The 16,204-nt window shown below is 38.6% G+C and overlaps 1 protein-coding gene across 30 annotated transcripts in view; it reads left to right on the forward strand.

Moving 5' to 3' along the window:
- RAPGEF4 (Rap guanine nucleotide exchange factor 4) overlaps positions 1 to 16,204 on the forward strand; it is a 317,576-nt gene that overhangs the window by 192,479 nt on the left and 108,893 nt on the right. For 2 of the 30 annotated variants that reach the window (XM_047443033.1, NM_001282901.2), the window contains exon 1: positions 356 to 550. The exons of 27 other annotated variants lie outside the window; for them this stretch is intronic. Coding sequence is in view for 1 of the 3 variants with exons in the window: in XM_047443031.1 (XP_047298987.1) it covers positions 411 to 428 (18 nt within the window). In the remaining 2 variants the exon portion in view is untranslated. Of the gene's footprint in view, positions 1 to 355; positions 551 to 16,204 lie in introns of those variants that run through there. One more of the 30 variants, XM_047443031.1, reaches the window with a different exon arrangement.

Consider the following 16,204-nt stretch of genomic DNA (forward strand, 5'->3'; position numbering starts at 1 on the left):
GACACCTTGGCCAGTGTCACCGATGTTCCCCTAGCAGTTGTGTCCCTCTGCTCTAGGGTACCAGTGGCCTCACTAGTGCCATTACCGTTCTGAAACTCACGTGTAACTGGCCAGGGTACAAAACTTTAATAGGAGAGTGAAACCACAAAATGCTGAAGCTTTGAAAATCTTGAGCCATCTTGTCCTGATTTTGAAGGACACATTGCTTATCACCCAAATGAAGATTAGATTAGCAGTGCTGCTGGCCCAATCCTGTGAGCTGTGTAGTGTGTAAATACTCCTTTCATTAGCTGGCCTATTAGAAAGCGTAACCCCCGAGCCAGGACTTATTTTGCCCCACCTTCTAGAAAATACCGTGACTTCATGTTGAAGGTGCCAAGAACAACTTCAGCTCTCCAGTCTCTGAGGAAATGTTTGTTTTTGTACTTGTGAGTTATGCATTTTATGGGGCAGACTGTCGTTGCTGAATTTCTTTCTGCTTTTTATTCCATCTGTTCCTCAACTCTTACAAAAGCTAGCCATACCATCTCTCTCTCTAGCTTCTGAAGTGGTAAGCTAATTGCATTTTTAGGAATGACGTGTAGTTGTCATCCATCTAAATGGTAAATAGGAAATGTAGGTAATACTCTAGAACTCTGATCCTTCTGTTGTCAGTTATGCCGTGTGTTGGTTGCTTTTGAATGTCCTGGACATTGTTCCTAGGACCTGCTTGCCGTGAGTTTGTTGGTGAAAGGAGATGTATTGGGGTGATGATTCATTGCTATATTTTAGAATTATTTTTGTAATACTGTGAATTACATTTGGTGATTGTTTTAATATTCTATGTTTGGTTTCTTTGCAATTTTTAAAATCTCTCTTATGAAATAGAACTTTTTAATGCTGCCGCCATGCTGACGATTTTCTAGGGTTGCAGCTGAGATATACTGCACGGCCCTGCTTTGAATATGCTCCCTCCATCTTCAGTCATCAGAATTTGATTTGGCAAGCTATCCCAGATAACCTGTGTAATGTTCGATAGTTTAATAATAATAATAAAAGAAATGAGTTTCTCTTTGGCCAACAGCTTCTTCTTGCTCTCACTTAAAACATTTCACAGCCTTGAGATGCAGCTCAGAATTGTTCCACTGTCAGCAGGGAGGGAGGAGTGTGATGTCATGTTATTAGTAATGTACACAGCTGCTGCTTCCAAGCTGTGGGAGAGTATATTGCTGTCTTCAGAGATATTTTCTCCTGTACTGAAGGCAATTATCGTCATCACCAGTTACTTTGGGCTGCTAGCATGTTATCTCAATTAACTGTGAGAATAAAATAGATAGTATCCCTTATGTTTGATGTGTTTGAATTTTTATTGTTTTGAGAAACTGAGAACAAATTATTTGCAAAATATGTCTTATGGTTAGCAGAAAAAATTATAGTGTTCTCAGATTGGATAAACTAATCTAGTGTTGACATGTCATTTAGGGTTTAGATTCTCTTCTACCAACAATTCTGTGTCAGGCAGGTTCCCTAAGTCCACAGATATTAAATATTCCGTAGTCACCCTCTTTACCTTTAGATGACATTACATTGAAGACAGATGACAGATAAATGCACATATATATACATATACACATAATATATATAGACACATACATATGTATTTGTACATGTATAAATATGTATATAGCAATTTCAATTCTTTAAAATTTTCAGAAAAGAAAATGGTCAAATCACCTTTACTAATATGGTCCAGAATTGTTCAGAATTCCTATTGCCAGTTTTTATAAATGTCTAAATCCTTTTTAGTTTAATTTAGTTTTCTTTTCTATTTCCCTTCAGCCAAAGAATGACTCAGAAACACCCCTGGAATATACCACTGCTTGCTTGAAAATCTTCAATTTAATGAACATTTATTGATCAATCTCAGGCCGTCATATAGGACTATGAAAATATGGCACTGCAGCCTAGACAGAAGCACACGTGAACAAATAAGAACAGTGAAGTATTGTGGGTGCTCATGTCATCAGGGTAGTGTGGCCTCAGGACAGGGATTTAGGAGCTCTTAGGGTTTCAGTTAAACTCCCAGCTCTGCCAATTTCTAACATGGGAACATGAACAAGTTACTTAACTGCCTTACTCATTTGTTTCCTCATCTACAGAAGGAGAATAATAGTAGCATCTTGCCCAGGGAGGTGTTCAAGAGTATTAATGAGATAATGTATGCCAAGGACTTAGCCAGTGCTGGCCTCTAGTATCTGCTTTGTGGAGACACATAGTGGGGCTGTGAAGTTCTTGTTAAGAAGAAGGGAAAGGGTTCAAAGTAGCCCCACAGAGGAGGCAATGTCTGGGTGGGTGCTACCCAGGGGGAAGGAAAACAATATGCCAGGCTGATAGCATTGCATGAACACAGGAAAAGAGTACCCGAATTTTCTCTTCTGAATTATTTTGGGCACTCTTCTTTCTAAGGATCCCTTTCAAAGTTATAAAAACCTGGCTTCCAAGCCATAGGCATTCCAGTGTCCCAACAAGACACCTTCCTCACCCCTCCTCAAAGAGCTTGATCTATTTTGAGTCTGGAGGGGGAATTAGCTTGAGTTTCCCCCTATTTTACTTCTCAAAATCATGCCTTCTTTTTTAAAATACAGAACTAGCTTGAGTTTGGAGGCTATTGTTCACTCTGACCTCCAGCTCCTTTTCCGTTATAATTACCCAATCAATACTCCCTCATTTCTGTTGTTCTCTTTGTTTGCCCCCCTCTTTTGAATGAATTACTTTGCAAAGCTTTCTATTGAATTTTGCCCTCTTTTTCCTTTTCTGTTTGTCAAGGTCATTTTAAATTTCAAACTAGCTCTCCTAACTGCCAGCCACCCCCACTCAATTGGGTATCATTGTTAAATTTGATAAGAATGTTTTTGATTTGATTCCATATTCAAGGCATTAATAAGCATGTTAAATTTAGCAGCATTCAGCCCAGTACCTAAGCCTGTGGGATTCAATTTGTTTGTGCTAATTTATTTGCATACATGATTTATGATCACCCCATCCAGACATAAAAGAAACTTGGGAAAACATACCATGAAAATTCTGGGTAAAACAAGGGCTAAGTCATTGAATTCACTTCTGTCATGCTTTTCACTCAATTGTAGTTTGAGGGAAAAGGAAGACAATAATTTTCTTTCTGTCTCCAAAGACATTAGTATGACGGGGTTCAATACTCATTCATTGTTACAATCCATGTCCCTAGAAGCGCATGTTTGCCAGTTCCCATCCCTGACACTTAATAGCCAGTGACACTGAACAAGTCACTCATTTCCAGGAGCTTCAGTTTCCTCACTGGTATAATGGTGATCTGACTTACCACAATAAAAGGATTAGTAAGATCAAGCCAGGCCGGGGTGGGGGGGGGGGGCGCTGGGGGGCGGGGGGACTGAACAGGTGGGAGGGGATTCCAAAACTCGACAACGATCTCAAATAGAAAACATTCTATTCAGTTTACATGGAGCGTAATTCTAGATAAGATCACATCCTGTTTCTATAGCCTCAGTCCCAGGATATTTTTCTAGCTTGCGGGGAGCTCTCTGAGGCAGGCCTGTGGGTTCTGGTGTAAGTGGAGATTGGGCCTGGAAAGCCTTAGAGAGGTGCTCTTGCTTCCTGTTGGCACTTGGTTCAATTCTCAGTTCTGGGAAGACTTCAGGACAACAAATGGAAAGTCATTCATCTTACCGTCCTTATAAACTTGGCTCAGACAGGAGAATCAGAAATTCCCAAGTCACACCAAGTGCTCCTCTGGTGCTGTAATTTGATAGCCCAATCCCAAACAAAGTGAGGAAGCCACACCCAAACCTTCCTCCAAAGTTAACCACAAAGATGAACCGGAATAGACAGTGAGAGCAGGAACACAAAGATAAGCTGGAGAAGGCAGCTGGCTTGTTTGGGGCACATCGGAGAGTCATGGATGTTATCACAGCAGCCCACCCAGGACCTGCTAGTTTTAGGTTATGTGAGATTTTTTAAATCTTACGTTTAACCAATTCTCCTTTTATAAGTGTCAAAGCATTGCAGTGTACAGCTGCCTAGTAAAAGGATTTGTAACATAGATGCGTAAATGGTTCTGTCATTCAATAATATAGTCTCTTAAATAACTGAAACAGGTAATGCTTCCCTTTCCCCTTCCCGCCACTCCTCACACCCCTTGACTCCCATGCGCCCCCCACCCCCACCCCCATGCGCCCACCCCCAGCTTTATATTTTGTGTGTGTTTTCTTCCTTTTTCTCAATTTGGTGTTTGGCATATTCAGAAAAACACGTGGGCTCCCTCTGGTGGTCATTCCGGTGTTCATGCATGTCTAACCTTCAAGTTTTAGTTACATGGCACAAGATATTTGGATGAAAAGTGGAAATATTCGTAGTAAATGTTATTTTCGTTTGTAAGATTCCTAGTACTTGGAAACCACCAAAATAACCAGCTCATTCACTCATTCATCCATTCATATGTGCACATATATAGTCTTCCATTCTCACATATTGTTGATATTTGACTTTGCTAAATGCAGCATGGTCTGGTCTGCAAGTCCATACAGAACAATTGAGTTCCAGTCCTGTAAGTTAAACAAATTTTCTCAAGGAATGGGGCTGTTAATCAGCGAGTTTTTATGGAATGCATACAGTGTATTAGACCAGGCATTGTGAAAAATAATTTGTTGCTCACCACTTAAAAAAATATATGAACAAGCTTTTTAATAGTTACAATGTTATATTATTTCCTTTTGTTGTTTAAGTCATATTCCCATTTTATTTCCTCTGTAGAAATTTATTCTACTGTAACATATTGTTTTCCAGGCCAGACGACTTTGTCATCCAGATTCAGCTATAATAACAAAGACTCAAACACAACAGCATCTTAAATAGATTTTTTTTTACTCATGTTAACTGTCCAAATATGAGCTGCCCAGGGTTAGTATGGCAGCTTCACGTTGTAACGTATGTTTGTGGTTGAAAGTCTCTTATGGATCACCCTCATACTGAACATGTATCAAAAATATGTACTTACATTTAAATATTCGTGTTTTAAAATCTCTTGTGACCATGGGTCTTTGTTACAACTTTTCTTCTAGATTGGGTTATGACAATAAGTAGATATATATGATCATCAAAACAAAATAAATATTTTATAAATTTCTGTACAAAAATATTAAACATTAAAGTAAATTACTATTAGAAATGCATCACTGGGTGACTTTGGCAAGTGTTTTAAAAAATGAATTATTTTAAAAAGTCAATTCATGCACCTTTAGGAAATAGCAGTTTCATTCTTCTTCTTGGTTTTTATGTATGCAAGCACTGGGAAAACTCATTCACAAAAACAGGAAGCTGGGGATGGAAGTAGTTTTAAGTAACAGTGTTACTAAATTCTTTGAATCCTAGGAAACTCATGTGTACTTCATGGAAAGCTAGAGATGATGGTGGAGTTGCAGTGGAGGGGTGGAAAGTGTTGCATTCTAGATGGATTTTGGAAATAGAGTCCATAGGATTTTCTGATGGATTAAATACGAGGTAAGAGAGAAGGTACTCAAGGGTGACTTCAAGGGTTTTGGCTTGAACACGTGGAAGGATGCAACTGCCATCAACCGAGGGAGGGAAGGATGAGAGTAGAGTGAGTTTGGAGACCTGGTTTCAAGGTCACTGTACTGGGCAGTATCCAAGAATGAAGTGTAATTAGATTTTGCACCGTACCTGGGTGCAGTCAATAGCTAATAATGATAAACATTAGACTAGAGAGTGATAATGAGATAGATGATAGGGATTTGCACTGAGTAGGACATGCCCGGGGCATGAATGAAATTAAAATGTGTCTGAAAGAAATGAAATAGTGAGACATAAATCAGCAAGAATTTTATCAGGTTTGTTTTGGCCCCTATTATATGTTATATATTTAAGATCATTTATGTTTATAAGTTAACTCTGTATATGCTTTCAGGTTTCACCTTTTAAATTAATAAAAGGTTGATTTATGTAATATTTCAAGTAAAAACAGCTAAGTGAACCAGGCTAACAAAGCATTATTTAATAGACATCCTCAGGGACCTAATTTAATGAATAGGTAGAGGGATGTTATTTGTAACTTAGTTCACAAATTATTTCTATATCAATAGGTGACTTTAAATGGCTATGGCCTGCTTGAAACAATTTATTCTCTTAATTAGTTTAATCATTCTTTTTACAGTTTCTTACACTACTAAATGGGTTAATAATCCCCTTTTTCCTCGAGTAAATTAATTTTTCTAGCCTAGTCACAAATTTCTAATTAATAAAGTTTGAAGGAGTGAGGTAATTTTGTAATAGTAGAAAAAATAACTATATTTTATTTAATCCTTTTTTTTTTTTTTTTTTTTGCGTCAGTGTCTTGCTCTGTCACCCAGGCTGGAGTGCGATGGCGCAATCTCGGCTCACTGCAACCTCCACCTCCCAGGTTCAAGCAATTCCCCTGCCTCAGCCTCCCAAGTAGCTGGGATTACAGGCACCTACCACCATGCCCGGCTAATTTTTGTATTTTTTAGTAGAGACTGGGTTTCACCATGTTGGTCAGGCTGGTCTCGAACTCCTGACCTCAGGCGATCCACCTGCCTCAGCCTCCCAAAGTGCTGGGATTACAGGTGTGAGCCACCACGCCCAGCCCTATTTAATCCTTTTTATATTAACTAACATTTATTAAGTTTCTACTGTGTGCCATGTAGGCTCTGGAGATACAAAGTCCAAAAAGTCCAATGCAATGAATTATTGATTTCAAAGAGCAAACCACCTAATGGGGGAGAGAGTTAGGTAAACAGATAATTATTTCAGAATGTGGTACTGAGAGAGATTGGAGTTAAGTACCAAAATACCAAAATACACACTCTAAGAGCCTTGTCACCTGAACCGGAAGGATTTCTGAGACAACAGTGTTTCATTTCATCTGTTATGGTTGCAGTAAAAAAAAAAAAAAAGTTTCAGTATTCACCCCCTACCCCAACATTCTCCCTCTTCACAAGGCTACAGAATTATTAGGTTACTATATAACTCCAGACTTCTAAGTTACAGGTGGCAGAAACCTGGATCAAGCCACCTCGAAAGCAAACAAGAGGCCGGGGGTGGTAGCTCTCACCTGCAATCCCAGCACTTTGGGAGGCCAAGGTGGGAGGATCACTTGAGCCTAGGAGTTCAAGACCATCCTGGGCAACGTGGTGAGGCCCTGTCACTACAAAAAATACAAAAATTAACCAGGTATGGTGGCACGCACCTGTAGTCCCAGCTACTTAGGGGACTGTGGTGGTAGGATGGCTTGAGCCTGAAGGGCAGAGGCTGCAGTGAGCCAAGATGGTACCATAACACTCCAGCCTGGGTGACAGAGCCAGACCCTGTCTCAAAAAAACCAAACAAGAGAGGAAATTGGGGGCTCACAGTGGAGCCGGCCTTGGGCTGATGGGAGCCGAGGGCTCTACCTCTTATTGCTTCTTCCCCAGCCTAGAAACATGGCAACCAACAACTCCTGGTTCCTCCCCAGCAGCCACAATGAGGGAGCATAGGGGAAGGACTCTGGCTGGCCTATGGTGGGTCACATGGCTCCCCTATCCCCACTCTGAGCCAGTGTAGGTGGGATACACAGCTCTGTTGATGGGGAGGTCTGTGCCCAGAAGGAGGAGGAATGATGGGAAATGAGAGCTGTTCATTGCTTCTCGCCAGTGATGTGCATTCCGCTGACTGCCAAAAAAAAACTGCCCCCTTCGATTGATGTACTCAAATAACATCATAATACAATCAATATCTCATTTCAGGCTAGTCTTCATGCCTTGTTTATGAAGAAGTTGGACAGATGCACTTATGAAAATAATGTTGACATCACATTTTGCAGTAGCTGTGATTGCAGTGAGCATTGTGCTTTAGAAAGTCCATGCATTCCATTCAGTCAGAATCAAATTTTCTTTTGCACCGTCTTCTTAACATATATGATGTGGAGATTAACAAGGTTTGATCTTAAGTCTTTTGAGCTACTTAGATGTGGATGCTCCAACAGTACATGACATAAGCAATCTCATTTTTCCTAGAATATTACAGGAATTCTTCCTTTTTAATCTACATTTTTAAGTCTTTAAAGTCTGTGAGCCAAATTTACATTCAGATAAGTCATTGATATTTATACTTTGTGCCTAAAAGGAGGTGTTTCTGCCAAGAGTCTAAAATGAAGTCTAGCAAGATGGTGGATTTTAAAAAATAATGGTTATCTCTTTCTGATCATAAATATAATACTTATGTTGAATATTTGGAAAAATAAGTGTTTTTAAAAATCTTCCTCATGCCTGTAATCCTAGCACTTTGGGAGGCCGAGGTGGGTGGGTTGCCTGAGCTCAGGAGTTCAAGACCAGCCTGGGCAACACAGTGAAATCTGTCTCTACTAAAGTACAAAAAATTAGCCGGGCATGGCGTGTGTGCCTGTAGTCCCAGCTACTCTGAAGGCTGAGGCAGAAGAATCACTTGAACCCGGGAGGCAGAGGTTGTAGTGAGCTGAGATTGAGCCACTGTACTCCAGCCTGGACAATAAGTGAGACTCTATCCCCTGCCCAAAAAAACTTCTGTAAATGCTACCTCCCAGAGCTCTGTGTGTTTATATAGTTAACATATAGGAAAATGTATACAAATAGAAACAAAATTTAGTTTACACTGTATATATAGTTTCATATTCTTCCTTTTTCAATTAAATTTTTTTAAGGATTTTTAAAATTAGTTAATATTGTCTCAACCGTAATGTAGAATGAATTTCCTCTGCAATACATTTTTATTGTTTTTTTTTTGCAATAATTTTTTTTAAATAGCTATTTGTACCTTGTCAAAGTTACTTTTCATACCATCCCTGTCCCATTACTGGAATTATTTTTTGTTATATTGCTGTTGCTCTTCCTTCGTTCCTGATGTTCCTAGTTTTCCTCTGGTATCATTTCTCTTCTGCCTGAAGAACTTTTTAAAGAAATTCTTTTAAAGCAGTTGTGATGGCTACGAATTCTAAATTTTTTCTCATCTGAGAGAATCTTTAATTTGTCTTTATATATAAGAGTATTTTCTTAATGAACAAATATTGATTCATTATCACCAACTAAAGTCCATAGTTTAAGGCTGGATGTGGTAGCTCACACTTGTAATCCCAGCACTTTGGGAGGCCAAGGTAGGAGGATCACTTGAGACCAAGAGTTCAAGACCAGACTGGGCAACACAGTGAGACTCCTCTCTCTGCAAAAAAAAAAAAAAAAAAAAAAAGTCTTTTTTAATTAGTCAGGCATGGTGGTACCTGCTTGCAGTCCTACCTACTTGGGAGACTAAGGTAGGAGGATCACTCGAGCCCAGGAATTTGAGGCTGCTGTGAGTTATGATTATGCCACTGTACTCCAGCCTGGGCAGCAGAGCAAGACCCTGTCTCTTAAAGAAAAAAAAAAGTCTGTAGTTTATTTAGATTTCCCTCATTTTTACCTAACATCATTTTTCTATTCGAAAATTCTATCCAGGACACCACCTCACATTCAGTCGCCATGTCTCCTTAGGCTCCTTTTGGCTATCCATTTCTCAGACTTTCCTTGTTTTGGATGACTGACAGTTTTAAGGGATATAGGTCGGGTATTTGGTAGAATGTCCCTCTATTGGGATTTGTCTAATGTTTTTCTCAATATTAGACTGGGGCTAGGGGTTTGGGGAAGACCGTATTTTCATCACATCATATCAAGAATATATACTATTAGTATGACTTATCACTGTTGATGTTGACCTTGATCATCTGGCTGAGGTAGTGTCTGCAAGTTTCTCCACTGTAAAGTCAGTCTCCCACAACTCCTGCCCCGCTTTCCATACTGAACTCTTTGGAAGGAAGTCATCGTGCACACAGCCCACACTTAAGGAGCAAGGAGCTAGGCTCCAGCTTCTTGATAGCAGAATAGCTACATTGTTTGGAATTCCTCTGTGAGGGGGATTTGTCTCCTTTCCCATGTTGATTGGTTTATTCTGTCATTTTTTTTATATCACTATGCACTCATGGATATTTATTTTATACTTTGGGTTATAATCCAATACTACCATATTAATTTTATTGCTCAAATTGTTCCAGCTTTGGCCACTGGGAGCTCTTTCCCTTGGCTCCTGTATTCCTTTGACACACTCCCATCACTATGCTTTGTTTTATTTTGTTTTATGGAGCACTGCCTTACCTGTGGCACAACTAGTTGCATATATATTCTCGGCTCTAGTCCCAGAGTCAGCCATTTTGCCAAGGATTCTTGGTTCCTTTGATGAAAGAATGGTGTTAGCAAGATCTTGGCGCTAGGCGTGCTGTTGCTACTAGGATATCTTAAGCCCTGTCATCTGAGATAGCAAGGAAATACATGTGTGCATCCTAACCTGTGCATATACACATATCTGTAAGTACACACACACACACACACACACACACACACAGACAACCATCTGTATCTATGTTTGGCTAAGCATGACTTCATACTGATTTCTCCAACTCTAATCCATTACCACATGGATCGTTCTAGTCCTTTCTCCTTGCCTCTTTGTAACCTCCCACTCCCAACAGTGAGAAATTTGGCTTGTACCATCTGCCACCTATTTATTTAACTGTCTAATTCGCATATACATTTACAGTGGTTTAAACTGTTTGCCTGGGCCCCCATGGGAAACAAATGTTATCAAGTAGAATAGAGCACTGTGTGCAGTGTCCTTGCCTTCAGTCTCTCACGCTCCACTCATTTCTTAAGTCAGCACCTTCCTCACCTGCCTCTGCTCTGCCACTCCCTTCGTTGAAGTTATTTCATACATTTATTATACAGTCAAATTATTTTGTCACAGTATGCATTCCATCCTGGGATACCCTAACCTTCTAAATGATTTTTAGAATTTGCATATATTAAGTTTTACTCCTTGTGCTGTAAAGTTATATGAGTTTTGACAGATGTCTAGTGCCATGTATGCACCATTACAGTACAGTATCATACAGAATAGTTTTACTGCCCTAAGCAATTCCCTGTGCTTTACCTATTTAATCTTCTTCCGTGTCTGAAGCCATAGAAACCACAATTTGTTTACTCTCGATAAAGTTTTGCCTTTTCCAACCTGTCATATAAATGACATCATGCGGCATGTAGCCTTTCACTTAGCAATATGCACTTAAGATTCAATGTCCTTGCATTGCTTGATAGTTTATTTCCTTTATCACTGGATAGTGTTCCATTATATAAATGTACTACGGTTTATTTATTTATTCTTCTCTTGAAGGACATCTTGGCTGCTTTCATTTTTTGGCAATTATGAGTAAAACTGTTATGAATATTTGTGGGCAGATTTTGTGTGAACATAAGTTTTCGAATCAGTTGGGTAATTCTTAGGAGCACAATTGCTAGATTGTGTGGTAACACTATATTTAGCTTTGTAAGAAACTGCCAAACTGTCTTCCAAAGTGGTTGTACCATTTTGTTTTCCCACTAGCAGTGAATGAGAGTTCCTTTGTTCTGCATCCTTGCCAGCTTGGTATTGTCAGTTTTTTAAAGCCATTCTAATAGATATGTAGTGGTATCTCATTCTTGTTTTTAATTTCCATTTCCCTAATGACAGATGATATTGAGTATCTTTTCATATGCTGTTTGCCATCTGTCTTCTTTGTTGAGGTGTCTTTTGCCCATTTAAAAAATTTGGTTCTTTTCTTATTGTTTGGAGAATTCTTTGCATATTTTAGATACAAGTCCTTTATCAGATATGAGTTTTGCAGTCCAGTCTGTGGTTTTGCTTTTCATCTTAACAGTGTCCTTAGTAGAGAAGAAGTTTTTAATTTCAGTCTAGTCCAACATTCATTTTTTTTCTTTCATGGATTATGCTTTTGTTGTTGTATCTAACTTATCACCAAACTAAATGTCATTTAGATTTTCCCCTGTATTTTCTTCTAGAAATTTTATAGTTTTGTGTTTTACATTTAGGTTTATAATCATTTCTGAGGTACAGATGTGTGTATAAGGCATAAGGTCTGTGTGTAGATTCATTTTTTTTAGCATATGGGCCATCCAGTTTTTCCAGCTCCATTTCTTGAAAAGACTGTCTTCTCTCCATTGAATTGTCTTTGTTCCTTTGTAAAAGATCAGTTGACTATGTTTATGTGGGTCTATTTTTGGACTTCACATTCTGTTCCATTCATCTACATGTCTGTTCATTCACCAATATTTCACTGTCTTAATTGCTAGCTTTATTATAATTCTCAGACTTTCCTAGTTTTTGGTAACTATGACAGTTTTAAGAGATACTGGTCAGGCATTTTGTAGAATGTCCCTCACTTAGAATTTGTCTAATGTTTTTCTCAAGATTAGACTAGGATTATGGGTTTTGGGGAGAAGACCACCGAGTTCTACTGTTTTCATCACATCATATCAAGAATTCCTACTATGAGAATATATATTATTATTGAAATTAGGTAGCATGAGTTCTCCACTTTTTTCTTCTGTGTTGTGTTGACTATTTGATATAGTTTGGATGTTTGTCCTTGCCCAAATCTCATGTTGAATTGTAATCCCAATGCTGGAGGTGAGGTCTGGTAGGAGGTGATTGGATCATGGGGGCAGATTCTTCATGGGTTGGTGCTGTCTTGGTGATAGTGAGTTCTCATGAGATCAGGTCATTTAAAAGTGTGGCACCTCCCCACAACTCTCTGTCCCTTGTTCCTGCTTTTTCCATGTGAAGTGCCTGCTCCCACTTCACCTTCCACCATGAGTAAAAGCTCCCTGAGGCCTCCCCATAAGTAGATGCCGTTATGTTTCCTGTACAGCCTTCAGAACCATGAGCCAATTCAACCTCTTTTCTTGTAAATTACCCAGTATCAGGTATTTCTTTATAGCAATGCAAGAACAGCCTAATACACTATTCTGTCTAGGTCCTCTACCTTTCCAGTAATTGCAGAATCAGTTTGTCTATATATCTACAGAATAGATTCCTGGGATTTCGATTGGGATTCATTGGATCTATAGATCAAGCTGAGAAGAACTGACGTCTTAACAGTATTGAGTCTGATAATTTATGAACATGGAATATGTCTCTATTTAGATGTTCACTGATTTTCTTCATCAGTATTTTGTAGTTGTCTCTATATATGCCCTGTACATGTTTTGTTAGATTAATACAAAGTACTTTATTTTGGAAGGATGATGTTCTAAGAGGTATTTTATTATTTCAAATTCCAGTTGTTCATTGCTGATATGTGGAAAAACAATTGGTATTTTGTACATGACCTTGTATCCTATGACCTTATACTTACATATTAGTTCCAGGAGTTCTTTGGAATTTTCTACGTAGACAATCATGTCATCTGCAAGTAAAGACAGATTGATTTCTTCCTCCCAATCTGTGTGCTTTTTCTTTATTTCTCTTGTCTCGTTGCACAAGGTAGGACTTCCGGTATGATAGTCAATAGGAATGGTGAGAAAGAATACCCTTGCTATTAGGTTTTTAATGTAATAATTTTTACCTTATTTCTTAAGTCTTCCATGAAGCATTATTTGTAATGGTGGCAAAATAGTCCTTAATTCTGGTGCAGCGTCATTTATTTTAACCATTTGTATAATGTATATTTTGATTGTTTCTAATTTGACTATTCTTTAGTTTTATTATTTTCACGATAAAGATGAAAAATATTCACTTCACGAAGTTATTGTGAAAAATAAATAGCATAATCCATGGAAAGTTCTTATTGCCACGTCTGACAAAAAGTAAGCACTTGATAAAATGCTTTTTTTCTTATCATTATTAAGGCTTTTGAAAAATCAGTGATTAGGGGAGTTAGGGTAGAACCTGTGTTTATGGGCAGAGATTTCTCTTTACACTTTCTGAGGAAACTGTATTACGGCAGTACATCGTAGGAGTAAACCAGCAAGGAGACTGCAAGCTGACTGCTTGAGCTCAATGCTGGCCCTGCCACTTCTTAGCTATGTGGGCTTGAGCAAGTTACTTAAACTAAGACTCAGATTCATCATCTGAAAAATGGGTTGATAATAATAGAATCTACTTCCTCACTTTGTCCTGAGGATTAAATAAGAACACGCATATAAAGTTCACACAGCACAGTACCTGAAACATAGTATGCTCTCAACAAGTATTTTTTTATTATAAACAAGATAAAATTGATTCCCCTCATTTACATCTCTGGTCATATATTCTTTTAATGGTGCTTTGCAGTTTTCAGAGAGTTTAACTGACAAATAATAATTACAGATATTTACGGAGTATGATGTGATATTTTGATGTATGTATACAATGTGGAATGATTAAATCAAGCTAATTAACATATCCTTTTTTGATGAGACATTTGAAATTTACTCTCTTAGCAATCTTGAAATATACAATAGGTTGGTGCAAAAGTAATTGCAGTTTTTGCCTTTAAAAGTAATAACAAAAACTGCAATTACTTTTGCACCACAATTACCTAATATTAACTGGAGTCACCATGTTCTGCAATAGATCTCAAAAACTTCTGGTAATATATTTTTAAATTGTCTTAGCTCAAATTCAGAACCACCATCTGCTTTCTTCCTCTCTAAGATTAAAGGACCATGTTCATATTTTGCTAAAGGAGACAGCATTTTGCTGCTCCCCTTTTCCTAACGGATGTCCACCTTTAATGAGCCTTTATTGTTTCAACAACTCCATTTAGCCACGCTATATGCCAGGTGCCTCAACACTGGAGTACCAGGGGAATCAGACAAACATGGTACTCCTGCTTAGATCTTAGAGTCTGGTAAAAAAAAAAAAAAAAAAAAAAATTCAGTAACCAAGTAATTATAACTGTAATGTGTGTTACCAAAGGGAAGTGCAGAATGCTCTGTCACAGCATGGTCCAGCAAAAATAGGATGCAAGATACATGTGTAATTTAAAATTTTCTAGTTGCTACATTTTTAAAGAGTAAACAGAGGTGAAATTAATTTTAATAACGTATTTTTATTTAACCTAACACATCCAAAATGTTCTCATTTCAACATATAACCAATATATTAATAAAACATGTTACTGACATATTTTGCATGCTGCTTCTTGTTCTCCATCTTCATACTTGGGCATGTGTTTGCATGCTTACATCTCACTTCAGACTCACTGTGTTTCAAGGGCTCAGTGGTCACATCTGGCTGGCGGCCACTGCACTGGACATTGCAGCTTCAGAAGTGTGTATTAGAGGGCTTGGGAAGAACTGTCTGAGGAAGGTACATTTTGGTGTGGCTTGAAGGTTGGGGAAGTCAGGAAAAGGGAGGGGAACACACGTTTTAGGCAGAGGGAACAGATGGGGCAAAACCTCCAAAACAAAAGCGTTTGGCATATTTGAGAAGCTAAAAAGGAAGAAGGGAGCCACTGAGGCTGGAGAGGCAGGCAGAGGTGATGTTCTGAAGAGACTTTGAAGCAGTGGTAAGGAGTTTGGATTTGTTCCTAGAAGAATGGGGAGGCACTGTGTATAACTAGAAAAATGACATGATCAGAATGGCTCTTTTTAGAGAATTGCCTTTACTTTAAGGGGAAGGTAAGCAAGGACTCTTTCCTCAGAGGGCAGCAGACAGTAGTGCAAGTGGTTAACCAGAGAGTTCCTATCCCAGAGCTGCCAGTTTCCTCATCTGTGAAATGGGAGTAATGGGAGCTCATCAAAGGGTTGTTGTTAGTATTCAATAAGATAACTGATGTGACTCACTTGGCACACAGCATTTGATAAATGTTTGTTCTTACCCTTGCCTGAGCCTGGAATAGTCTCTTATAGGAGAAATCCACAAACCTTCCTTTGTCTTCAGAACATACTTCAAATCTTGGGCATCCCTGCCTCTGGATTCCTGTGCTGAAGCACCCTAAACAAATGAGATAAGAATGGAATGGCTTTACTCCTACCCCACAACCCAAAATCAGACAAGAAAACCCTTTCGCTGTCTTGCCTTTCACCCGCTGTTTTTGCTTGCATATGCGTTTGCTTTCATAACCTGAGAACAGTTGTTGCATGAACCACATCCTCTCAGAGTTTTCTCTGTTCTATATCTTCATAAAGGTTCCCACATGCTTCTTCTTTAAAAATATGGTAAGATCACTGAGGTTAACCTCCTAATGATAATTAGGGAGAAATAGTTCTCCAAATGGCTACTTGAGTAAGAAGAAGCAATGACATTACCAGATAATAATAGATCAATTATTTATGGGATT

The sequence above is a fragment of the Homo sapiens genome, chromosome 2 (genome assembly GCF_000001405.40).
Source record: "Homo sapiens chromosome 2, GRCh38.p14 Primary Assembly".
Classification (NCBI taxonomy): Eukaryota; Metazoa; Chordata; class Mammalia; order Primates; family Hominidae; genus Homo; species Homo sapiens.